This window comes from Homo sapiens, chromosome 4 (genome assembly GCF_000001405.40).
Source record: "Homo sapiens chromosome 4, GRCh38.p14 Primary Assembly".
Lineage (NCBI taxonomy): Eukaryota > Metazoa > Chordata > Mammalia > Primates > Hominidae > Homo > Homo sapiens.
Genome location: NC_000004.12, coordinates 100,802,772 through 100,830,024, shown reverse-complemented (window position 1 = coordinate 100,830,024; position 27,253 = coordinate 100,802,772). Strand labels below are relative to the sequence as shown.

Below are 27,253 nucleotides of genomic sequence, written 5' to 3'. Positions count from 1 at the left end.
TTCAGAAATACAATCTGCCATAGTCGCGTTATTGGATTTAGGCAGGTTTGGGAACAGCGCTCTCGAAGGGGTAGATTAGAGGTAAAGATGAGAATTTAAGTTCCAAGCTGAGAAATGGTGTTGGTATTGGGAATTAGTGGAAAGTGTGGTGAGTTTAGAGTCCGTAGATCTGGGTTTAAAACACAATTCCATGACACCCTGAATGTGTTACTAAACCTTGATGAACCTCAGATTCCCTATCTGTGAAATAACACTACTTACTCCTCAGTATTGTTGCAAAGATAAAATTAATGTATAAATAATAGTGCCCATTATACAATAAAGTTCTGTAAAATATTTGTGTAACCCAAATAACAGACACTTGGCATCTTTAGTCCTCCAGGATTTGAGGGTCATACTTCTCTCAAAGTATTTCAAAAACTGTCTGTCTTGAGCTATGTGCAGAAAAGAGTTAGCAAAGCAGGCCCGAGTCTGTCATCCTTAGAAAGTCTGCTTGCAAGGTTGGCTCTTGACTGGCATCTGGTAACTCGGATTCCAGGAAGCTTCCCAACATTTCATGTTAAGAATGACTCACTGTGTCTAAACTGTGCAAACAATGTAGTTTATGTTGAACACCTACTTTCCTTCTGAAAATCTGGATTTTCAATATGTTCCAAGCACAGGGTGCCTACATGGCCAACCCCCAATAAAAACTTTGAACACTGAGTCTCTAATGAGCTTCTCTGGTACACACATATTGTCATGACTTGTTGCTGGAGGAATCAAATACATTCTGTGTGATTCCACTGGGAGAGGTCTCTTGGGAGCTTTGTTTCCTTTGGACTTTGCCTCCTGTTCCTTTTCCTTTGCTGATTTTGTTTTATATCTTTTAACTGTAATAAATTATAGCTCTGAGTAGAACTATATGCTGAGTCCTGTGAACCCTTGCAGCAAAACACTGAATCTAGGGATGATGTTAGGGAGCCCTGACACAAGCACCTAGCCCATAATTAGCAAGAATTCAATTCTCAGGGGACTCTTTTTTTCTCCTGGTAACCTCTTGCTCCAGTTTCTTATTTGTTGACACGTTTTTGTTCCTTTCTGCATCTTTGCTTGGACTGCCCTTTTCAAAAAAATTGAGAAGAAAACCAGTGGTAAAATGGACCTCTTCCTCTTTATTTCAATGTAGCACCAGAAGGCAATGAGTGGAATAGAGTTTTTCTAAAGGTTGAAGGCAATGAAGGAGGATTACTATACAGCCCCAGCATACAGTTTAATATGTACTATTCACATCCCAGATTTAAGAACCCCTCAGCCAACATCAGCACTAGAAAATTTTCTCTGACCATTGTGTTCTTTACAGACATTACTTTGTATCTTCCCCTGTCTACTCTTTGTAGTCTCTGCACAGGTCCTTCCTTATCCTTCAGCGACGCCCCCAGGACCTCTGGTTTCCTACTTAAGTATGCAGAGCTCTTGAGCTTGCTTCCTCTGCATGTCCTGGACCCTGCAGATCCTGCCTGGGGCACATACTGGGGAAAACTCAAAATAGCGAGACAAGATGTGGTTTTCTAAGGCAACAGCAATTGAAGTAAGAATTTTATTTTTCCCACTGGACTTATTTTGAATGCTTCTATTATAATCAATTTTTCAGTTATTTAAATGTTGGTATTTTATATATATTAGTATCTATGTATATACACACATATATGCACATACATATATATATATATATATATATACACTATTTTTTTCAAAGAACACATATTTGATCTAGCAAATTAATATTACCTGTTTTATCATCACTGGCTGTTTTCCCGCCTTTAGTTGTAACTTGAGGTCACCTAAGGAAGGCCTAGAATTCAACTAATGAAAAAAATAATGGATTCCACTATGTTTTCATTTGAAGAAGCTTTTAGGAAAAGGAACTTTTTTCTGTTTCCTGTACCAATATTTTGACCAGCCTTTGGGCAGATTTTGCAATGCCCTTCTTCCCTACATGTTTCTTTTCCTTTATTCTACCCATTTCTTGATTCAACCCACTGCAATGCAGAGTGAAGGAGGAACCAACATTTACCAAACATCTGTAATGTACTAGGTATGACTCCAGGTTCTGTGTGTGCATGTGTGTGTTTGTATTGCTTCATTTCATTTTCAAAACAGCTGGAGAGACATAGGCATTATTCTCAATCTTACATATGTGGAAACCAAGACTGAGAAGTTAATAAACTTGGCAATTGCCACATAATCAGTAAGAGGGGCATAGGGATTTATAACTTAGGTCTTCCTGATTCTAGGACACTTACTCTTTTCTAGCCTATGCTGAAAGGGAAGGATACAGGACTGTGCTAAATAGTCCTTTTTTTCTTTTAAAACCTATGAAACATGACTATATTTTATTCACAAGACATCCTCATCTGCAAATCTGAGCAATTCTTTTTTTCCTTTAAAGTAATCTTTGCATACGTTTTTCTAAGATGTTAAATCTCTATTTGGGGTTTTATTTTATGTGTGAAAAAGTAAAGTCTCATGCATTAGCATACCCTTTTCCTCCACTGCACTTAATGTTCAATTAGGGCAATTAACTCATCAGGATGTGACTTGTAGCATATAATGTTGGCACTGCCTTCACCATGGATGTCACCGGTGTGCTCAGCCTTCTCACAGAAGCACTGCATTTGGCTCAGGTATTTTTAGCCCATCTTTGAATTTTTTTTTAAACCATGTACTGTTATAAGGTGGGAAGACAGATTCACAGTTCGGTTTTGAGATGAAACTGGTGGTAATGAGCCTTTTGAAAATAACAAACCTGATGCTCCCCTTTGCATGTGTACATATTCCTGGGATATGCCTTGTGGGAGGGTTGCAGAGCAGAGAAAGCTGTCTTGCCCTCTGCCAGGGTTCTTTCAGTTGGTTTTAGTCAGGTCGAGGCCTGAGCAGAAGAGAGAAGCTCAGAGCCTGGGAGAGTTCTGCTTCCTGATTTTACAGCTAGGAAAATTAATTACACAAGCCATATCGACTGCTTGCCTCATACATAGCCAAATAATTACGACAAAGCAGAGGAGCTTGAGGCTGCAGTAAGCTACGATTGCACCAGACTGGCAGGTCTGAAAGGCCCCTGAGTCTGGCAGAGGCAGAAAGAGGACAATGCTCCTGAGTGTACCAAGCAGCGATGATGCCTGGGACAGACCCCTACTCATAGGCTATAGATGTTTTGTTTATAGGTGAGCTTCCATCCTTTGAAAGTGTGACAGTCAGCCCCATTGATGTGTATTACTGTTAACTTACTAGAATCTTTGAGAATTTAGACACACAGAGCTGCAATAGCTTTATGATGGATTTGGAGTTAAGAGGACAGTGTTTACACCTCATTTTATTCTGCTCTTGTAAAGCCACTTAACTTCACCGATTCTTAGGAATCTCATCAATAAAATAGAGATCATCTCAATGCATATATTCCAGGAGCACTGAAACTATATGTTTCAAAGTGCTTTGGTATCAGTAATGTGCCAGGCATGTGTTCTTTGTTGTTATTATAGGTGTTGTTTTTCATGTTTGGATGTACAGCTTCTGTTCAACCAAGTAGAGTTAGGCCTGCCCTAATTCTTTAAGGCTTTGGTAGAGAGAATGATGCCCCATGAGCCTTCTGAGAAAACATTTGCCATCATGAGCATGCAACCTGAGAATACTTCCTGGGCTTTCCCCAGTCTCAAGCCTGATTCTCAATTAGAGGTGTGAGAGCTCCATAGAGAGTTTATAAGACCATTACCACCTCATTAGAGGCTTCAAACATACAAGTCACTGTTTCAATACCCCCATAGAGAGAGAAGTAAAACTGACAATAGGCTTCAGAAAATCAATGACAAGACCTTGAGGCAAAATTGCTTTCCTAATAAATTGGCATTGCCCAAGATGATGTGATGACAGCTGTGGGAAACTCTCAGGGCTCATACATTGGTTGTTTCATGCACTTCCTTCCTAAAACAATACAGTTCAGGTATTTTCAGCCTCCTCCCTTTCTAGTGTTTCCCATTCTGCATAACTTGGCAGGTGGCTACACCTGAACCACTTTGGTTTTCTCTGCCAATAAGCTTTAATGATTGACAGGACTGACTTTGGAGATCTGGTATATGCTGTCCCCAGTTATAAGCTGTGTGTCTTTAGATAAACTACTTAACCTCTTAAGTGAATTAATTAAGGTCAGATTGGCTCCTGTAACAAATACATGCCAGAAAGTTAACACACTAGGGATTTATTTCTCACTTAAGTAAAACTTAAAATGGTTGTTCCTGTTCCACTGGGTGACTCCCCCTTACTTGTAGCTCCTCCATCTTTACCATATAATTCTCAGGTTTCTATGGAAAAGGAAAGAACGTGGGATTGAATATGCTGAGTGTTAATGGGCCAGCCCTCATGGTAGCAAAATCTTTTTTCCTCACACATTCTACTTTATTTAGTTACGTGGCCACACCAACATGCAAAGGTGGCTTCCCATCTAGTCTCTAGTTGTGTGCCCAGGAAAAGAAGAAATAAGTTTGGTGATTTGGTGAAAAAGCAAGATACACATAGAAACAGTCTCCCAAGAATTGTGAAGAATATGCATGATAATGTATGAGAATGTGACACACAGTTAATGCTTAATAAACATAGTATTATGATGATGGTGCCAACCAAAAATTTTATATAATAATTTTCAAAACTAAAAGTCTAGATTAGTATTCATAGTATTTCAGTTGCCGCAGGTGAAAATCAATGTTTCATGAGTAGTAATTCAGAAATGATAACAGAAGCTCAACTTTATCAGGCATGCCATATGACAGATACTGTAGTAACATTTACATGAAAACTCTCTCAAGGCTGGGCACGGTAGCTCATACCTGTAATCCCAGCACTTTGGGCAGGAGGATCTCTTGAACTCAGGAGTTCAAGACCAGTGCCTGGGCAACATAGAGACCCTGTTTCTACTTAAAAAAAAATTAGCTAGGTGTGGTGGCACATACCTGTAGTTCCAGCTACTCAGGAGGCTGAGGCAGGAGAATCACTTGATCCCAGGAATTGGAGGCTGCAGTGAGCTATGATTGTGCCATTGCATTCCAGCCTCCATTACAGAGTGGGATCCTGCCTCAAAAACAAACAAACAAACAAACAAACAAACAATCTCTCTCAGGTATAAGTGACAGTTAGGCAGTAAGTGACAGAGTTGTGACAGACAGTAAGTGATGAGTATCAGCACACTCACTGCTATTCTCTAGACTGGTCAGCCTCCCCATAAGCTCAAAGTGTAAGGAATTGTGCTCACTTCCTAGCTGAGTGATCTCAGAGCCAGAGGTGTTTTAAGTTAGTCAGAATTATCCAGGTATGTTTCTAACATCTATGTGAATGCAAGGTAGAAAGGCATAGGCCTTTGTTTATAGAAATCTACAAACTGCAATGACATGAGCAGAAATATGCTGTTGAGAACATGCTTCAAACATATGTATCAGATGTAAGTGTGGTTGAATACTTCTTTGATAAATTAATCATGTTCCCCATTTACTTCTTTATTTTTTCCTAATTCAGGTAGGAAATTAGTTCTATTTAAATGCTTCAGCTCAAGGCTGAGGCAAGGTAGAAATCAGAGGTAGATTTCTAATCTCTCAGGTTCTTTCATTCCAAAAGCATTTAAGCCCTTAGTGGACCTAAGCAAAAATGGAGGAAATGTTTAGGACAAACGTTAGAAAGAGGCTAGGGCCCACACAGAGTAGAAACTAAAAATTCCTATGAGCTGGAAAGAGGAGACAGGGGGTAGGTAATGGGAATAGAAGGATTGCTGTCTCCAAAGGAGTGGAAACCTCAGTTCTGTTTACTAGGCAGGTTCCCAGAACAGCAGCTAGATTGACAGTTTGTCAGGAGGCCTATACAGATGAGACCATAGACAGCCTCACAAAGATTTCTTGTATCTCAAGCTTGTATAGGAGCAACACACTGGAGTGCTTCTCAAATCTAATGTGCATATCAATCAACTGGGAATCTAATTAAAATGCAAACACTGATTCAGGAGGCCTGGATTGGAGCCCAAGATTTTGCATTTCTTTCAAGCTCCCAGGTGTAACAAAGCTGCGCACTTAGAATAGCAATGGTCTAGAGTGTCACCCGACTTAAATAGGCAACATGGACAGGAAAAAGCACCTAGGAGTTGTGTATGAGCTGAGTCATCCTCTGCAGACTGTTCAAATATCATTTGAGTCAACACCATCCAATACTTCATTCAAGAGCCTGGTGCAAGTCAGTTTCCCCTTGGTTCACTCTTTCCTGTGTCAACAGCCACTACCATCACCAGTGACATGCAACAGAGTTCAAGGTCATTAGAATCCTGAGCTTTTGCTCCACCCTCATCTGACTTATTCCATACGAACACCATCAGGACATGCTTCTGTGACACTCTTATGCCCAAACAAAGGAGCATAAAGCATTGAAACTCCAGTGAGTGGCAGTGATGGTGGAAGTCCCCCACACTCATACTAGTAAAGCAATCCCCAAACCATAGTGAGCCACAAGAATAAAGCACTGGCTCAACGGACCAGGGTTTGCATTGTGGCTTATACCTACCAACTTGCCAGGTAGGTAATCTTGAGAAATATGTTCAATATTACTAAACTTCATTTACTTCATTAGTAAAATGGGGTTTTTGTAAGAAGTAAATGAGGGAACATTTCAGGTTCTTTCTACATGGTATGAGTGACAGCTGAGTCAAATGAGTCAGTGAGGGAATGAGTTAGATGATACCCAAGGTCTTCTTAAAATAGTTTAGAGAAGGCTTTTTTGACAACTCCAGTGATTAATCTCAGAGGTATGTTCAGTCAGTTTAGTTTGCAAGATGTAGAATTCCTTTCAAAAAGGCATAAAGGCATTAAAGGGGGGGCCACTTGCAAGCCTTATTTCTCTATCAATGAAACTTTTGTCTCTCATCCTACCTTTGCCTTGAGGCTACTTATCTGTAAAACAAGTTCCCTTTTTACTTCAGCTATGTAGTTCAAAGTCAAGACTATTTCCCTTAGTAACCTTGATCTAAAGGAAAGTAATTACTTGATATCAAGGCTGTCTTATGATTCAGATTTAAACAAATCAGATCTAGACAAAATTGCCAATAAATAGTGTTTCTTGAATCTCTGGAACACATTCTCTTGAACCTGCTCCTTCTCTGTTTCTGTGCATGCAGCACTTTGCTCAACAGATTCTGTCACATTTGGTCTAGGGAAGATGTATTTTGTCATAGATGCACAATCACTGACATACTCAAAGGGGTATTAAAAAAATTTGCAATTTTCTCATTACATGAATAAGTTTAAAAAGTGGCTACAGGGAGAGGATCAGCAACAAACATGGCATCAGTGGAGAATCCTATGAGCTAGTTTTTTCTTTTTCTTTTTCTTTTTCTTTTTTTTTTTTGAGACAGAGTCTAGCTCTGTCACCCAGGCTGGGGTGCAGTGGCTCAGTCTCAGCTCACTGCAACCTGTACCTCCTCGGGTTCAAGCAATTCTCCTACCTCAGCTTCCCAAGTAGCTGAGATTACAGGTGTGTGCCACCACGTCCGGCTAATTTTTTTGTATTTTTAGTGAAGACAGGGTTTTGCCATGTTGGTCAGGCTGGTCTCGAATTCCTGACCTCAAGTGACCCGCCCACCTTGGCCCTTCAAAGTGCTGAGATTACAGGCGTGAGCCACCGCATCCAGCCAACTGAGCTAGTATTTCTAATGAAGTACATTTCTAATGAGACATTAGAGACATGAGACATTTCTAATAAGACATTAGAAATGTCTCATTTTCTCCTTTTCTAAGGGAGCATAGGACATTTGCAACAACAACATTAGTGACTATGCAAATTAAACTTTCTTATACCATACTAAGGAAGGGAATACTTTAAACGTTTTCATTTATAACAACAGCAATAGCTACACCAGCAATGGCCATTTACTAATTGTTAGTTATGGTCCAGGCACTATGCTAAGTCCTTTAAATGTAACATCTGGTTCAATGCTCACAAAATTCTTGCAGAGGTAGCACTAAAAGCATATTACATTTTCTCCATGAAACATTCACTAATTTCCTCAAGTTACCATACAATTTTAACTTAATAATATTGTTAGTAGCTAACATTTATTTAGTGCTTACTATGTGAGAATCTTTGTGTTAATGTGTCATATTTTTCCTACAAACCAAAAGCTCCATGAGGTTAGATATTTTTCTCTCCTATTTTTTACTGTTGTATTATTAACAATGATAACAGTTCCAGTCATGGAGCAGATACTTGATAAATATTTACTGAATGAATGAATGAATGAATGAATCTCACGATACCTTTTTATTTTACAAGTGACAAAAATTTAAAAATAGAGTTAAATAATTAGACCAAGGCCACATAGCTAGTAAGAAGTGAAAATATGAACCCAGTCTGACTTCAATTATTCATATTTAGCCACCATTTCATACTTCTGATGGTATAATTGGTGTAATTAAGTGTATAACTATGATAGATAAAACTCTATATGTCCAGGAGTGCTGAGATGATGCTTGAATGGCTTATGTGATCAAAGTCTTTGTAGTTTGCCTGCAGTTTTTTTGTTGAGATCTTGAGTTTTGAGTGATGTGCTGAAGGAGCAAGGGGCATAGTTTTATGAAAAAGGAATAGGAAAGACATTCCTGAGAGAAGAGAGTAAGTACAAATGGGCCCAAATTCAGAAACTGGACTTGTGTCTGGGTATTAAGGAAGCTTGTATAACACAAGAGACAGATCCAAATGTGAGTAGAGAAGAAGAAGCATAACTGAAAATGGATGTGCCAAAAAGAACTTTCTTCATGATTAAGAATTTAGAAGGAGCATAAGGAATGACTGAAGTCAGCTGTAGGCTTTTAGTCCAGGAAACAGTATTATCACACTACATTTAAGAAAATGGTTTCTGTGGTTATGTGCAGCATAAAGTTTTGAAGGTAGAGATGCAGTTAGAAAGTTTTAGTGGTAGACTAAAATCCAAGGTGATTAAAATCTTTGCTGTAATTGTGTCTTGAAAATGGAAATGATGACATCTAGAGAAATGTTTCAGAAAAAAACAAACAAAAAAAACCCTGCAGGCCCTTTCCTTGGCTTGGATATTGGGTGCGACATAGAACTTTCTTAGCATTAATGTAATATCAGTACTTTGCTTTCTAAGACACGATAGAGAGGGTATATTCTTCACCAAGGGTTACATGAATAGGAGGAGATCAGTTTGACCAGTTATGGGTCACAAAGCTGGCATGTGCAATGGCCAGAATGCGGTTCATTTACAGGTTTTCTTTGGATAGCACAGTGTTTAATTAATTTCAATGACTGCAGTAAATTCACCAGAGGCCCCTTTATGCTGTTGTCTTATGTATAACAACATTACATAATAATTTTACCTACCTGGACTCAAAATGCATTTGAATTTGCAACATCTGTCTTAGATATTTTTCGAGATCCCTTTACAGCAAATTTACAATACTGTGCTTCTAAATGGTAGCAGAATTACAAAAATTGCCTTTGCCTTTCATCCTATGGCAGCATGGTTACACAGCTCCCACACACAGCTCTTGCAATTATGCAAACTTTTTGGAGCAGAAGAAAATAGTGTTGTTTCCATGTCAGTGTGTGGGCTACAAAAAGAACATGAGGATTTTCTTATTCTCTTGAAATGCGAGCTGGAAAGGAGAATGCAGAAAAGTGGTAACAAACCTGTGGTCATGAGGTCTTAGTAAAGAATAATCTTTAAAGAAAATCTACCTCCGTGAACAGAGGGGCATGACAATAGGTAAAATTAAAGAACAGGATTTGACGTGTTTTTTTTTTTTTGGAGTCACATGAGTGACCAGCTGTGGCCTATGGGCCTCTCAGCAAACTCAGGAAAGTACCTGAGTTCGAGGAGGCTAATACGCAGAGAAGACTAAGACCAACCATACATTTTTTCACCTTGGCTTAAATTTTTAATTATATGGTTCTGTCTTTCTCAATTGAAGTAATGGACAGCAGGAAGCTGCTGATGACCTATAAAATCTGGAAGGTATAAAGATGTAGCCAAAATGAGGAAATGTGCAGAGAAACCAATGTGAAACAAAGTTGACACGAAAAAGGTTTCAGGCCAATCAAGGGAACAATGGCCAACCGTTTCTCTCAGTGCAGAATGCACATGTATTTTCAAAAAGGATTAATTTGTCAAAATACATATCCTCTGGAAAGAGTCTTGAAGGCTGATTGTGCATATTCTCTTTACATCTTGGCAGAAGATCACCTGATTTCCTTTCCAAGAAAACAAGTGTAAAAGCTACTATTTTTTATTTTTCAGATAAAACTGAGCACATCTTTAAGTACATTTTGTAGAGTTTAAGCCGCCCCCTCCCGCCCCGTTCTGTGCTGCATCGCCAGCTTTTGCATGGTACTTGAATGCCTTATTTTAACCCTGACTTTTGTTATCCATAGAACTATGTGAAACCACATTTTGTAACTTTAAGCTCTGTCTTCACAGAGACTATACAGCTTCAGAAATGCTGGGTTGGTACATGGAAACCTTGTGTTCAAAGAGTATAATTATTTTGTACCAAGGCAATAATATGGGAGTATACAATGTAATCAAAATTCTTTCAAAGTACCCTATTTAGATATTCAGCTTTCTAATACTCTGAATGTTTACAGGTTATAGCCTTAGTATTGTCTCAGGATCAAGGAAATTTTATGGGTAGCCAAATTATAACTTTCTTTCTCGGACAACAAACACATGATTTATCCAAGAAGAAAAGGAGAACATGGGAGACCTTTCATTTGAAGATAACTTTAAATGATAGCATCTCAAGCCATGGATCTAATACACTCTTATTTTCCAAATACAATCAACCCATATTGAGTAACTATAATGTATCCAATACCATGATTAGTGCTTTTACATTTATGAAGTAGTTATTCTCTCTATAGCCCTGTAGGCTATAGAGATAAATATCATTAGTATTGTTCTCATTTTGAAAATGGAAAACACTGATTTTTAGAGGAATTTACCTAAGATTACATAGTTAACAAATGAGAGTGGGAACTTCAACTCCAACTCTAATATTTATTTCATGATATGCAAACAAACCATTGTTCAAAATGCCTATATTTTGAAATAATTTTTTAACAATCTCCTTTTGAATAATTTCAGTGCACTAGATTTCTAATAACCTTGTTAGTTTCTCTAGTTGTGTATTCTCTCTCTGTGTGTATAGAAGAGTTAAAGGAATCAACTATTTTGTGAAACAAAATATTCAATAGTCTTTGGAAACATTTGCTTAATCATAATCTACTCCTGATTTAAGGATGTCAGCTAATTAAACAAAATACTTAATAAATTGAAGTAATATCTGTTTTTCCCCCAAACTTAATGCAACCAATGTAGTTTTACCTCATGTATTGAATATTGCAAAAGCTTTTTTGCCTTGTTTATTTACATCTACTTTTCCCAGTATATTTTTTATGCTGCTGTCAGCATACAAAATAAAGCCCCATTGTCATCATTTTATTCTTCTACTTAGAAATGTTAGTGGTTAAAAAATTATTCCCATGTGAGAGTTCCTAGCCTTCCCCGATTTCCCATACCTATTAAAAACATTTTTGCCTTTGCTTGTTTAATTTCTCCTCTTTCTTCACTCTCTAAAGAGTTTTTAACTTAGAGCTAACAGAGAAGGTAAAAAAACTTCATCATTGGTTTCACTGAACTCTAATTAAAATTAAACATTTTCAATTATAAATGTAAGTAGCAACAAACCACAGTAATATTAATAATTCCTAGGGCTTTTCACCAACAGAAATCATAGATATTCACTACTGTCAGGTATACCCATCTACTCCTAATGAAAAAGAAAACAAATCGTAGATATTCGTATATCATATTTTGATTATTACAGATATCTCAACATACTATTTCTACTAATCATGACTTTGTAGTTATAGGAGTTATTAATCTTATCACTAGTTTTTGTTACTCAAGGTATTAATAAATAATCTATATTGCTATGATGTAGTTTTGTTTTTAATATTTTGATAACTATGTATCAATATATTTAGTTTCCTTTGTGGTCTAATGTATATTTTATTTTAGGTATTTAGAAACATTGTTCTGGCTGGGCATGGTGGCTCACACCTGTAATCTCAGCACTTTGGGAGGCCGAGGTGGGCGCATCACTTGAGGTCAAGAGTTTGAGACCAGCCTGGCCAATGTGGCAAAACCCCGTCTCTACTGAAAATACAAAAATTAGCCAGGCATGGTGGCATATGCCTGTAATCTCAGCTACTCGGGAGGCTGAGGCATGAGAATCGCTTGAACCCAGGAGGCAGAGGTTGCAGTGAGCTGAGATTGTGCCCCTGCACTCCAGCCTGGGTAACATAGTAAAACTGTGTCAAAAAAAAAAAAAATTGTTCTGAGCTAAGGCCCATAGACTTCACCTTCACCAGACTGTCTATTCAATGGTATAAAAAAGGTCAAATGTCCCTACTATAGAGAGAGTCTAATCTTTTCTAGGGCCTGCAAGATTGTATAAAGCAGAGATGATATATTAATGAAGGAGGGTGAACAGAAAAAAGGAGGAGAGATGAAGCCCAGGGCAAGGAAATCAGGGAATTGCGGGGAAGATAATATCAAGTGTTGCATGGGTTGGCGTGGAGAAATAGAAGGTGAAAAGTTAGGGATAGGGAGAAAGTAAGGAAAGTAAGAAAATAGGTGAAAAATGAAAAGGGGAATTTTGAAGGGTTGGTTTTATTACAAATGGGATCCCCTTTGATCCTCTTAGAAAAATACTAAAAAATTGATTTCCTTTAATTGAAATTAAAAAAATTTGTTTCTGGACTATTTTCTTTGAATATACTCAATTCAGAACTGGGCTACAAGAACACTGGAATTTAATTGGGTTACACCTTTAGTGGTTTGTCAATGAACTCCTTCAAGAAAAAGTGATATTAATTAGCTTGGCATAAAAGGCCTCCAAATGGTATCCTTCCACCTGTACAAATGTACATGCCCTCAGTTCCCATTATCAGTCCTCCACTTGAGCTGATAAATACTTTTTACTATCTTTTGATCATCCTGAGTCACAGCCTACTAATGTGCCTCTGCCCTTTCTAGTTCTCTGCCTGAATTGCCTCATTTCAACCCTTTCTACAGCCTTCTCAATAACCTAAGCGTGACTCTTCTACCTCCATAAAATCTTCTGCAATTACTACACAGCAATAGTCAGCAAACTTAATCTCGACAGGATCAGAGAGTAAAGATTAGAATTTGTGGGCCAAAACAAGTCTTTGTTGCAACTCTTCAACTCTGTCCTTCTAGCACAAAAGCATTCATAGAAAATAAGTAAGTGGATGATGAGTGTGGCTGGGTTCCAAAAAACATTTTATATACAAAAACATATGGTAGGCCAGATTTGATGCATCAGTTATAGTTTGTTGGTTCCTACTCCAGATCACTGCAATCTCTTTCTTTCTCTGAACTCTATTAATAGCTAATTTCATAACCTCACATTCAGTTCTATTACAGCCCTACCCTATTAGTTACACTCTTTACTATAAACTTCTTCAGGGATTAATTTGGAAATTTGGGTTCTATTGTTGAAGAAATAAATGAATAAATTATTTCATGTCAGTGAGATAGATGTGTTAGACCTGTACATATTGATGTAAATATTTCTAGTCCCCTATGTCTGTCAATAATTCAGCTTCAATCCCATGTAATTGCACATGTGGAAAAACCAGCCTCACAACTGTCAAGATACATTTAGAGCTTTTCAAAAACGCTGATATTGTTGACTTGCACTTCAGAGCAGAATTAATAACTTTTTACCTATGCTGAAATATTTTTCTGTTCTTTATATCTATTTTGTAAGAGTCATTAAAACTGAATTTTTAGGAACTGAATATTTCACTAATACATTTGTGTGAATTTCACTGGCAGATATACTTGTCATAAGTGCTGGTTACTTTCCGGAAAGATAAAGTTTGGGATCAAGAAGCTCAAGTTTGAGACCCAGATCCATCTACTAACTCTGCTATTAACTCTGTACCATTAGGTAAGTCATTTAATACTTTGGATCTTTGCTTTTCTGTAATAACAGGATAATACACATATCCACTACCTAACAATGAACAATGGACAATAAATGTGAAAGTGCTTTGTAATAGGTAAAGTAATATAAATGTCATTTGATGATGCTATAATCACATTGGGGATCCTTCATTTAGTAGACATTATTATATTAGTTACAATACATGTAAACATGTATAAATACATACAGTCACAAAATTGTTTAATACTTGCTATTCTAGAATAGAGTTTAGGGGAGTTCTAGCCCCATAGCGTTGGCATTCTAGAAGCATTGGTCCAAGTGAAAGGAAATTGTTGAAGGTAAATGGAAAACATCAAGGTCAAATCGAAAACTCTCCCTTGCCCTCCCAAATTTAAATAGATTCAAGACAAAGTGAAAAATCTAACTTGATGTCTATGGCAGTGCCTAAGGGGGATCTAGATTGAATAGAGCAGATAGGAAACACACACAAAAAATACAGAAAGGACATACTTGGGGTGTGAGGTAGAGAACCCAGATTGATTCAGGAGATCATTCTGAGAGCAATCATCAAAGGCTGAAAACAGGCTCAGCCCTGGCAGGACTAAAGCATGAGGGGCAAACCACAGATGGAAAAATGAACCATGGAAATAGGCTCTTCTTACTCAATATTCAGAGGAAGAGGGCAGTCTTGGTGGGCAAGACCAGGTCAGAAGCATATTAGCTAGCAGGAGAGACACTTTCACATCTTGACAGAGATGGTGTGATACAATAGAAACAGTATGTCTTTGAAGCCAGTTGTTCGAATCTCAAATTTTTTCCTTTTATTAGTCGTGTGATGGCAATTTTTTCTAAACCTCACCCCTTCAAGATACTGTAAAGAAATTGCCTAATGCAAGGTTGAACAAGTAGATGGCAATAAATAAATATTAGTTCTTCTTAAGACAATCTGCATCTGGTTTTAAGACAGCAAAATATTATTTCCAACCCAATTTGCTGGTTTGGTGAAAATTCCTCAGATTTTGTTAGACTGGCGTGTCATCTTTGAGCAGACTTCAGGTGGCTGGCTGAGCATTATGTGTAGCTGGGGAGAATTAGATGGAATAAGAACATTTAGATTTTTAAAAAGCTTATGTTTTTTGTTCTTAATCATAGTTTGGGCAAGACCAATTTCTTGTTTTTAGGTAAGTACACCTATTGGAAAATGTGTTAATTTATGCATATCAATTGCAACATATCAAATTCCATTCACACATTTTACATGTTGGCTTTGCTACAGCAGCCATTTCCTGGATTCGATATAAATTGAAAATTTGAAAGCCTAGTGTGAGTGTTTGTGTTATGTAATAATTTTCCATCTGTTAACTTAGAATTACATACATAGATCTTTCCATTTTTCTTTCCTGTCTCCTAGACATGAACTATAAATAGACTTATTAGGATTAACTTCTGTATTTATTTCCTGCAATTTTTGACATGGTATTCCTTTTTTTGGTGGTATTCCTTTAAATTCTATGAACCTAATTATCAAGTTAAAATTATTATTTTCTTAAAAGCATCTCTGTGTGGTATTTTTATGTTTTGGAGTATACATGTTTATATATATATATTAAATAGAGTATTAATTATCACTCTATATATTAATCAGACTGAATTGTTTTAGTTGAAGGCAATAATTCTTTCTTCTTTAAACAGATTGGAAGTTACTAGGGAACATTACACGGTTCTCAGAATCACCAGGAGAACTGGAGAAACAGGCTGTAAGTGTTTAGGAGCAATAATAGAACCTCATTTCTGAACTGGCCTGATTTGGTTGCTGCTGCCACCATTGACTTCAAAACAATTCCAGCACACAACAAAAATTGATGCCTGGCTTCCTGCTCTCAGGAGCTCAGTTCTAAATCAAAGTCTCAGGAGATTCATCTGATTGATGGAATTTAAGGCACATGTCTGTACTCTACCTATAAAAGAGCCTGGGAAAGACTTGTTCTTAAAATTTTAACTTAGGGAGGTGGAATTCAAAATATAGAAACCTATCAAAATGCATCAGGTGTTCAAAATTTTGGGAAAGCCTTGCATGGCGTTAGTCCACTGCATTTTACACAGTCTTCTCAAGAATAGTGGAGACTATTGTTTTAAAAGTTTATTCGAAGGCTGACAAAAATTCTATTTACTTCATTTTAATTCCATTTATATGACTCATATAAACACTCTTTCTCTCCATGGCTAGAAGGTCCTAATATAATGTCCAAAACTGAATTTCTCATCCTTGCACACTCCACCTCCATATACTGTGCCCTATCACTATTTTTTATCTTAGTAAATGCTATCATTATTCACCGAGAGGCAGCCTTGCTATCTTTTTCTTTCATCATTCTTCCCTATCTAATCACAAAGTCTTACAGATTCTGAGTTTGAAATATGTTTCTAATGTACACACCACCCTGGCATCTGCACTGTCATAGCTGTAGCCCAAGTTAACATTATCTTTTCATAGACTACTGCAGTAATTTCTAAATTTATTTCCATGATTTTACCTCATGTTATTTGTTAAGATCCCCTTTCACCAAAGAAGATGAGTTCCTCCTTTATATACTTAGATGGCAACCTATGTATTTCCTATAGAACTTATCACAATTACATTTTTACATTTGTAATTTATTAACTATTGTTGTAAGTTTTAATATGTCCATGTTTCCCACTGAATTATAAACTTTCTGAAGGCAGGGACTGCAACTGTGCAGTGATAGGTTCCTTAGGTATAATGCAGAAACTTAATAAATATTGGTTTAAAGAATGTATGAATGGGCTTAGCATTATGTACTGACTTTGGAAGATTATATAAGTTTTTTCAGGGATTTCTTTCTATAGCTTAGAAGGTTCTAAATAATCTTTGCCCAATGTTTGACCTTTGGGGGAATGAAACCAGTTTAAATTTAAACATCAATCCTCAAGGAAGTAACCAATGAAATATAATAAAATACAGTAAAATAAAAGTGTATTCATTCCAGCTAGACCAATGCATGCCCTTTGTTACTAAATGGTCCTCCATGACTATTTAACCAGAGTTAACGACAATGGAAATTTTATTCACTTTTTAGAATTTATATTTTGAATATCAGCTATGTACTAGGTAGGCAGAATGCCCAAAGCATGGTATGTAAATATGATTTAAACATCTTGAATTGCTCAAAATGTTGTGGAGGAAATAGTTTTTACAACCTTTGTTAGATTATCTAATAAAGAATCTATTTCTAATGGAGAAGAAATAAAATGCGTAATGGAATTATTAATTTTGCTGGCAGACTGAAGACCAAGGAAGGATCAACTTGAAGAATAACCATAATTTCACCAAGAACAATGTTTAAAAAAAGGCATTTCAGACTGTGATAATAGGGGAAGTAAAAGTGTAAATTTCCAGTGGATGAAGATGGCTGTGTCTCCTAATCAATAACCAGCAAAATTAAACAACAAAAAAAGAGCAGATATGTAGATATTCTTCAGGCCAGGATGAGGGTAAATGGCTTGCCCACTGCATATGGAAGTGTTGTTCTACAGAGACTGCTCTTCATCTACTGAAAACCGGTCCTGTGCTGTTCTTTGGATCACTAAGTGTTGATAATTTTGTACTTCTCTGTTCATTCTTGTTGACTCCACCACCTTTGTGATACTCTACAGAAATTATAATATGGTTAGAGAAGGAGAAGATAACATTTGCAGTCATTAAACATAAATTTCCTACTTCTTACCGAGGCCCACCATTCCCTCTCATCCCTACCACACACAACCTCTTCAGGAGCACAAATTGTAAATCTCATTCCTATCAAGGCCAGAATAATATGAAATCAAGTTTTTAACTTTGTTTCCTTTTCTTCTCAAATCATTCACTAGCACTTGTTAACAAGAGGGACACTGAATATGGAGTCAGATAGACCCAGGTAGAACTCCTGGCTTGGCTACTTATGGCTTTAGGAATGTTACTTGTCTGTTAGATGGTTTCTGCAACTGGAAAATGATGAAGGGAATGCTTCCTTGCAGAGTTGGCCACCTGATCATATGAAGCAGCACAAGCAAAAGTGCACATAATAGGCTGTCAATATATGTTCCTTGCTTTCATATATAGTTATAGCAACTCTATTGTAACCTAAGTAGTGCATATGGTAGGCTATACTGTCCCAAAGCTAGTGCTACTAACCATTAGGTTAAGATGGTCTCAATGGTGCTTTAACAGTTGGCATTACTTCAGTATTCTTAAGTCTACCTGACGTTTGAAATCCAGGGTGCTATGGAGAAAGCCCCGACAACCAGCCATGGGTCTCTGAAAATGATTTATTTTCCAATCTGCAACTCTAAGGATGGAGACCGGGTGAAATTTATATTTCTCCACTGGGCCACAAGTGTGTTTCCTGTGAGATAGATGCTCAATATCTGTCAACAAATGACATTGATATGCACATCTTCTTCTTCCTTACCCAATCCTAAGCAAATGTCTTATGCTGTGTCTGTGAATTATATAACGTACCAACTCTTCCCAATAAAACAAAAACAAAGAAAATTGTGTTTGCCCTCATCAGTAAACCTATGCAAGCAAATTCCTCTTCCTTCCTCCCTTGTACTCTCACTCTCCCCCGTCATCCTCTTTTCCATTTATGAGGAATGAAAGCAAAGCAAGATCTTGCCCATTTCTTTTGAGTTTATTGTTCTGACTGCTAGGCATCTGTGTCCTGCTGCTCCTTTTGTGTAGAAACCATTAAGCCTTTCTTCCATTTGCTTCAAGATGCTTTAAGAGTCATGTCAGTAGGATGTAATTAAAAAAGACAAGAACAGCAGGGAAAATGCCAGACAATTACTAGGAGACACAGGGTAAAAACAAGGTTGAGACGAACTAGTTTATATGAAAAGAAATTCTGATTACCACCATAGTTATTATTGGTATTTAACATTTATTGAGCAAAGACATGGAGTTACACACTGTACAGAACATAGAATTAAACTTTTTTTTTCTAGCCAGGAATTAAAATTTAAAAAGCTGTGAGACTTCCAAAGCTGCTAGTCTCAAATGATACTCTCCTGTGAGAAAGGATGGAGGCTTCTGATCCTATGTAGTTCTAATGAGGAAATAAATAATATAATAAACATGAAAATTAGAATTGCTTAAAGTGAGCGCTCAATACGAATTAGTTACTCATAGGAGGAAGGCAGGCTTAATAATTCCTAATAGTATTAACCCAATTGAAGCTGTTGGCCTGCTTGAGAATGTTGCTTTCCCATATATAAAGCTGAACTCTTCAAATTGTGCCTTGCTGTTATAAAATCTCTGCAAACTACTGTAATTCGGTTTTTCTTGAGAAAGTGTTTAGACATTTTTATAGCATTTGAATATTATCGAATGTAAATATTTAATCCTGGGTAGGTCAAATAATATCATAAGTCCTTTGAAGGCAAAAATTTATCTTTTTCATATGTGTAAATCTCATACCTGAAGGAGTTCCTGGTAAATAATAGGTGATGAAAGAGTGAATTAAAGAAGAAATGAATTAGCTAGGTGCAGTGGCTCACGCCTGTACTACCAGCACTTTGGGAGGCTGAGGCGGGTGGATCATGAGGTCAAGAGATGGAGACCATCCTGGCCAACATGGTAAAACCCCGTCTCTACTAAAAATACAAAAATCAGCTGGGTGTGGTGGCACGCACCTGTAGTCCTAGCTACTAGGGAGGCTGAGGCAGGAGAATCACTTGAACCCGGGCGGCAGAGGTTGCAGTGAGCTGAGATTATGCCACTGAACTCCAGCCTGGCAACAGAGCAAGACTCCATCCAAAAAAAAAAAAAAGGAAAGAAAAAATAAAGACAATAAAAAATATTTAAAAATTAAACTACAAAAAACATGAGTTTTGCATTTTCTATAAAGAAAGCTACTTGTAAAAAAAAAGCCCTTTAGTCAGCCTCGTCAAGCTTTGACTGTGGGTGCCACAAAACAAAACTAATATTTTCATGTGGCAATGAGATAACATGTAAAAGCCAAGAAATGTCTAATGTATGTTTGTGATTAGCCCAACTCTTGTTAAGTCCAGTTAATTCACATTTATTTGGTTACTCAGGAATGAACTTATTCTTCTAAGTGCATTTTCAGACAAATAAAAATTACTCTTTGGAGTGCTGAAACTATTTTGGATAGATATCTTTCCAAAATATGTATATACCTCTTTTCTTTCCGAAGTAGAGCATAATCTGTTAAGTTTTGATCTGTACATTCTGGGAATCGTGTTGGAAAATTGGAGCAGATTTAGAAAATAACTTTCCACAAGCTTCACAGTCCAGGACATAGATCCTGAGCCTGTTGCCTTCCATCATGCAACAAGACATCTGAGAATTCAAAATTCCAATCTGGTTTTTTGGGTGGTGTTAAAGGATGCTTTTCTAGGTAGGAAGATATAATATATTTTATTTAATAAGTGGTTTTTAAAAACTTGGACATATTCAAAATTAAGTGAAACTTTTGAATGCTACTCTTTCTTAGTTCTGCAGAGTATATTCTGTTGGCTATGACTGCATAACTTTTGGACACCCATCGTTATGAAAGGCACACCTTAGGAAAAACAGTTTAACAGAGTGAAATAATGAAGATTTGCCTTTTTGTTTGTTTGTTTGCTTGTTCTAGGACAGACTTAAATATCTATGATTGCTATTCACATAAAAACAGGGTAAAGTGACTGTTTTCTTTGCTCATGCATAAAAAGAAAAGAGATGGCTCTTATTTCCTCAACTAATTGAGTGAATGGAACTGGATGTCTCTACCAGTGTTTGTGACATGATTTACCCTGAGCTTTGCCTCCTCCATTTTCTTCCCACACTCACTGGTAGTCAAATGTAAATGGGTAAATGTAGACTTAGCCAAGGAGCATATTTCTACCAGTTGGTGGCTTGCTTTAATTATGTCTGCTCTTTAAACTGTCCCTAAGATTCAAACTTAGGCCAAGCAATCCACTACTCCAATCATTAGCCCCTCCCTATATGAGTTTGTCCCCTCAGTCTGGGCCTGACTTCTTTTCCTTTCTAAAGCTGAGCCATAGCCTGAAATTTCTCTTTTGCAAATTGGAAACTTGCAAACAAACTCTAGTTGCCTCCTTTACTTTTCAACAACACATTCTTGGATTATTATTTGCCCATGATGTAATACGAAGGAATAGAAAATATAGTTCTCTAAATACAATTTGTTAGATATTACACAGTTTCTATGAACTATAAACACTTAGAAAGGGAATTGGAAGAACAACTCTCACAGAAAATGAAAAATGTGTGAAAATTATTTTTATTGCATTAGTTTCCACTGCTGCAGTATTTTGAATACTTGCCAAACTGTGTGAATAATTAGCGTGGTTTCAAAGGCAAATATATTGATTCATTTGTGTGTGAGAAATAAATTTATTGTGTATGGCTTATTTCTTCTTGCATTCTTACATAAAGTAAACATAGCCCAACTGACTAAAATATTGCTGCATGTTCTACCACAGAGTGATCCTAAATTCACAGTCATAGACTATGCTTAGCTTTTTAACCCATAGCTAATTAATAGCTGTGACAGGCTTACATGGCAGCCTGCCTTAAAGCAGAGATGTCTAGGTTGTTGACATGAAAGAAAAGCTGCATTAATAAAAGAAAAATATCTGCCTTTGATACAAGTAGAACATGTATACAGTTTTTGTTCCCCTTACTTTGACAAATGTAGAAGTATTATTGCTGATTCAAGACCCACAGCTATAATTATTGCCAAGATCATTTAGAAGTCCCAAAGGTTGCTGTTGGTTCTCACATTATTGCATTGTGCTCATTTGTGAATGCCTCAGGTGAACTGTTCAGTCTTCCTTCAGTGGAACTACTAGACCAAGTTCTTCTGCAGGGCACTATAAGGCATACTTTCCCATTACTGATTCCCAATAAAGCCTAGTGAATACGGTAAAACAAGCCCTGAGCACTTCTGAACATAGTAAAATAAACTTTGAGTGCTCTTACGGCACTTGGGTCCATATCTTGATCACTTTTGGTTTGTTTGGCCATAGGTTTCCATTGAGCCATCAAAATGGGCTTTAAGGTGGGGAATTCTATTTCAGGGTCAGCCATGTGATTCTTAACTGGAAGACTACAGAAGGCAAGAACGCCCTTGCATTCCCTATGTCTTCTGCTCCAGACACTTCTACGGTTTGACCTAGAAGTTAGGAAAACATAAAGCAAAATTTGCACGAAAATGGAACTTGAAAGACAGAAAGGATGATTGTGTCATCATCAGAAGTAACACATTCTGATTTAGAGACTGATGTGAGATTCAAGGGTCAGTGCCACTTATTTGATATAACAGTGTTGGAGTCAGGCAGACTTATGTTTGGATCCTGGCTCTGCTCACTGCTAGTTGGCTGACCTTGGCCAAAACACTTAACACTTCTGCACCTTTGTATCTTTGGTATGCACAATAAAATGTATATAAAAACACTAACCAGACAGATTTATTGTAGGGTTAAATAAAATAAGGACCAGAACTTAGAATAGCTTAGATACTCAGCAAGCAGAAGTTATTTTTGTCCATTAATATTATGGTAGTATTAATAATAAAGTTAAAATAAACCACTGTCAAAATTTAAATAAATTTATTCCCCCTAAATCTGAAAATGCTGTTCAAATGGCTGCAAAGTAGAGAGTATCTATTATATTTCTGATAGAAACATCATATTTCAAAGCTTATACCATTAAAGGTAGACTCATGGGAGGGTAATTCACTTAGGGACTTGGTTTAGCTAAAAAGTCATTTCTGGGGATATTTTAATCTTTTAAGTCATTAATCATCTCTGCAGACAGGAAGCTTTTTGGACAATTATTATCTTAATGGACATGTTTTGCTTATTCTGGCAATTTGAGGCAGTTTAGTGAAGAATGAAATTTTAGAAATTGTGAAAATAATAAAATATACCTGGACTGGAGATTCAAATGAATAACCTTTAACAAAAATCTGGGCAACAGCTTGCTAACCAAGTTTGAAATACTGTCAGAGAACAGGGGATACAAGCTTTGGGTTTTACTTACTTTGTGACTCAGCCAAAAGCATTATTTGTGATTCTCACGAGAATGAGTATATGACATGAATATGACCTTTACTTGCTATATATTTGACAAAATCTTTATTGTGGCCTTTTTTTATTTATTCAGTGATTTTTTATCTTCCATCTCTTTTCTCCTTCAGAGTTCTCTATTCAGGAATAGTCTATAGTTTTCATTACTGTTTCTGGCTCCATCAACTTTTCTCTTCCACTATCATCTCTGAAAGCCTATGACACTGTGCTGCCAACAAATTCCTGAAATTGGGATTTGAGACTTATTATTACATGGTGATATCTCAACTTTAATCAGGCAATAGTTTATTACATTGAAATACAGAAGCCAGAATATTAATTAATGTTTATACCCTAATTCCACACAGATTTACCCTTGGTATCGCAACATTTTGTAAGTACACAGAGGAATAAACGATAAAATCAGAGCTATCTTGCCAATACTGATATGGGAGGGGGCAGGGAAGTGCTAGGTAGAGAAAAGTAGGTCCCTGGTTAGTGCTTCACCCACCGGGCCTGTGCCCATGGACCTAGGTGAGGACAGGCACTCCTGCCTCCGTGCCCATATGTTACATTTTCCAAGACCACCCTGACCCTCCATGTCCCCATCCCGTGCCTATAAAAACCCTGAGATTCTAGTGGACAGAGACATAAGTGGCTGGACGTCGAGAGGACGTCAAGGGGAGCACGTTGGCAGAAAAGCACACCAACAGACGTTGGCAGGAATGGAGGCCATCGACCAGTGGAACAACGAGGAGTTTAGCCGGGGCAGTTGGAGAACAGCCTGGCCGCTGAGTGGCCCAACTCCAGGGGAAAACCACTTTCCCACTTCCTCCCCTTCTGTCTCCCCCATTTGTTGAGAGCTATCTCTACTCAAGGAAACCTTGCACTCATTCTCCAGGTGTGATCCAGTTCTTCCGGTACACCAAGGCAAGAATCCCAGGATACAGAAAGCCCTCTGTTTTTGTGATACGGCAGAGGGCCTAACTGAGCTGACTAACACAAGCTGCCTATGGACAGCTAAACTAAAAGAGCACCCTGTAACACACGCCCACTGGGGCTTCAGGAGCTGTAAACATTCACTCCTAGACACCGCCATGGGGTTGGAGCCCCACAACCTATCCGTCTGCATGCTCCCCCTAGGGGTTTGAGCAGCAGGGCACGAAGAAGTGAGCCACACCCCCATCGCACACCCTGTGAGGGGGATAAGGGAACATTTTCCATTTCAATACCATCTCAAGGAGTTGGTAGTTGAAAGGACGATATAGAACAATGAAAGCACTGCTTTAGTAAATCACAAAATATATGCCTGACATTTATTTCCATGCAACACATTTATTAATATATTTCTAATAAAGGCAAAATTCAAGGACATAATAGCATCTCTAGGCTCATTTTTGGAATAGCTGTCTTTGATTTTGGTTGATTGTTAGAATTCTTAGTAACAAAGCACAAAGTTGCTGAATTACTTCCCTGTGGTCACATAGAACAAGGCAGGAGGTTTTAGGAATAGAATTTGAGGACTCTTGATATTTAGGTTCTTGCAGTAATTATTAAGCACATATCCCGTCTATTAACCATACAGAAGGCATATCTGGTGTTGTTAAGTAAACCGTATGTTTATCAGGCAGAAAATGTGCAGCACAGTTTCTTTCCTTTTGCTGTCAGTGAGTGCAGTGCCACAATTCTGAATCAGAAAACATTTGAAATGCCATGAGGCTTTTGCAGATAATCAGGCTTGGAGCCCTGGAGGGTTGAAGAGAGGAAACTGCTACCGTTAAATGAGTTTACTAACCGGCACAAGCTGACATTTCACCCCCCTGCCTTCTGGCACATCCTATGGAAATAAGAAATCAATCTGGACATGCAAATAATTTTAGAAAATGTATATTATTGTAATTGATTTTATAATGCTGTCACCTATTTCCCATTTAACTCATTCTGTTTAGTAAAAATAAAATAATACGTAGCCACAATGCTGTGAGAAGCCACTGATTACAGGGTATAGTAACAATAATACCCCAGTTAGACTCTGGTGGTTTGTTAGAACATGGAACACCCTCAGCTTTGCTTTGAGCTATTAATTAACCAACCATTCATTAACTGCTGCTAACAATTGATTTGGAAGGAATTATTGCTTAAATAGCAGGAGGTATTTAAGAGGAAAATAAATTAAAACAAAGAACTGCTTGATCCCGAGGGAAAAAATAAGAGTTCTTGAAATATAGAGAATAGCTTCAAGGGCTCTGTAATTATCAAGTGATAAACAATTCTTTAGAAGCATATTTTTTTATTTTACTTTATTTTTCTAGAAATAGAGACAGTGTGTCTTATAATCAAGGACCCAACTGTCTTTGAATGATCCAAAATGAAATGATGTTATCAGAAGCATAACTGAAGTAGTAAATTCCTATTTTAGTATATTACCACAAACATTTACATAGATAACAGTTATACTCTCTTGGCAATGTATTATGGAAATTTAGTTTGCAAATAAAATTTTTGAATAAACAAAACAAAACAACAACAAAGTATCTATTGTCATGAGCTGAATAACATTGTGCATTTAATGCATGATTTCAAAGCCAACATTTTTACCTTCAATCTGTCCTTGGGTTGGTTCATATTAAGGCCATAGCCTCTCCTATGATTCTCCTTATTACCTTGAGAATACAGTTTGCAGGAGTTACTGGTTTTGATGTAAAACAGCAAAAGGAAAACTAATAGTACACCAAAGAAACTAAAGAAAATCTGTGCTTTTTGGGTGAATTATTTTCCCCTATACTGAAGTCAGTTTAGGAATTACCATACCAATTATCCCAATTTTTTTTAAGCAAAACCAAGTTTGCCTGCCTTGAATTTCAATTAAATTTATTGAGCATTCACTGTATGTGAGGAACAAAGGTAGCCTTTCTCTCTGTCTGAATTGCTAATGGACCAAGATTTTATGAGCAATTTTAATCTGAACGTTAAAGGTCAGAGATCCCTAAACTTTAAGATACTTGCTTTGTCCAGTCATTACATGTATAACAAATGTCTTCCGAAATTTAATACAGTCTAATTTGTATTAGGACTTTAAGTGGGTAGTCTTTATGATATCTTCTTAAAGCTGTAAGTGGTGATTTTGTTGGAGGGTATCCTTTCTTAGAAGTATTTTGAAAATTTGGTGGGGGTTGAATTTATGTTTCACAGTATGGGGAAGGGTCTTCTGACATTTAGCAGACAGGAAGCTAGGGATATACATATAAAGTAATTTTTGAACATTTAATACATACGAATTTTCTTAGGAATGCAAACACTATGACAACTAAAAATGAATTGTTCTTTGTTTTGTTAGGAAATTTACCAAGAATGATTTACAATTTTGGAAATGCACATCACCGACAATGATGCTATTTGTGGTATTAGAGCTGCTAATATATACACCTGTGTCAGCTTGCATTTGTAGCTGTAACAGTCAAACATACACAGGCAGTCTTCATTTTGCATGGCATCATTTTAACTGAAACGTGCATATTGAAGCTGTGTCCTTGCTTTGCACAATTCTGATATACTCAGTTTCAGTTAACACAGTACCATACAAAGTGAGCACTACTTGGAATGAAAGAGATTTGAAAATTTGAGATTTCCTTAAGAGATTGACTTAAAAATAAGCATTACTCAATAAATAGAAAAAAATACAGGAATGTCACTAAATGTAGTTAATAAAGTCTGTTTTAAATGTAATTAATAAAGTCTGTTTCAAAAATTCTTTTTTTTCTGTCATAAACACTTCAATGTGTAAGTCAGTTGGTAATAAATGTTGTGAAAGTTATGTAGAAATAATTTATTTATTTATGTTTTGGATGCATCTTGATTTAACCTGATCTCTTATATTCCTTTTTTTTTTTTCCAATCTACCATTAATTTCTAGTTGCCTATTGAAGGATATTGCATCCAGGGTTGTGATAATTAATTTTATGTGTCAGCTTGGAGGATGTTTTTGGATTAAATTAACATTAAAGTTGGCAAACATTGGGCAAACCAGATTGCCCTTCATAATGAGGATGGGCCTCATACAATCAGTTGAAGGCCTAAATAGAACAAAGGCCTGCCTTCCCAAG

The 27,253-nt window shown here is 37.0% G+C and overlaps 1 long non-coding RNA gene across 1 annotated transcript in view, besides 3 other annotated features; it reads left to right on the top strand.

Annotated features, from left to right (window-relative positions):
- The window catches only part of LINC01218 (long intergenic non-protein coding RNA 1218), a 68,704-nt gene extending 50,098 nt beyond the window's left edge, over positions 1–18,606 (top strand). The window contains exons 3-5 of the long non-coding RNA NR_189167.1: positions 13,943–14,057; positions 15,747–15,811; positions 17,357–18,606. This is a non-coding gene — a long non-coding RNA (long intergenic non-protein coding RNA 1218). The remainder of the gene's footprint in view (positions 1–13,942; positions 14,058–15,746; positions 15,812–17,356) is intronic.
- Positions 5,276–5,445: an enhancer, noted in NCBI's record as "experimental_71492 CRE fragment used in MPRA reporter constructs". NCBI's record gives its function as "activates a minimal promoter by MPRAs in K562 erythroleukemia cells, with activity observed for the introgressed 4:101745822 variant allele {active_cell/tissue: K562}" and the evidence as "EXISTENCE:reporter gene assay evidence [ECO:0000049][PMID:34662402]".
- Positions 6,816–6,865: an enhancer, noted in NCBI's record as "active region_21746". NCBI's record gives its function as "activates an Ori minimal core promoter by ATAC-STARR-seq in GM12878 lymphoblastoid cells {active_cell/tissue: GM12878}" and the evidence as "EXISTENCE:reporter gene assay evidence [ECO:0000049][PMID:35858748]".
- Positions 18,431–19,275: an enhancer, noted in NCBI's record as "OCT4-NANOG hESC enhancer chr4:101731907-101732751 (GRCh37/hg19 assembly coordinates)". NCBI's record gives its function as "activates a minimal SCP1, AML or CMV promoter by ChIP-STARR-seq in primed H9 embryonic stem cells {active_cell/tissue: H9 hESC(primed)}" and the evidence as "EXISTENCE:reporter gene assay evidence [ECO:0000049][PMID:30033119]".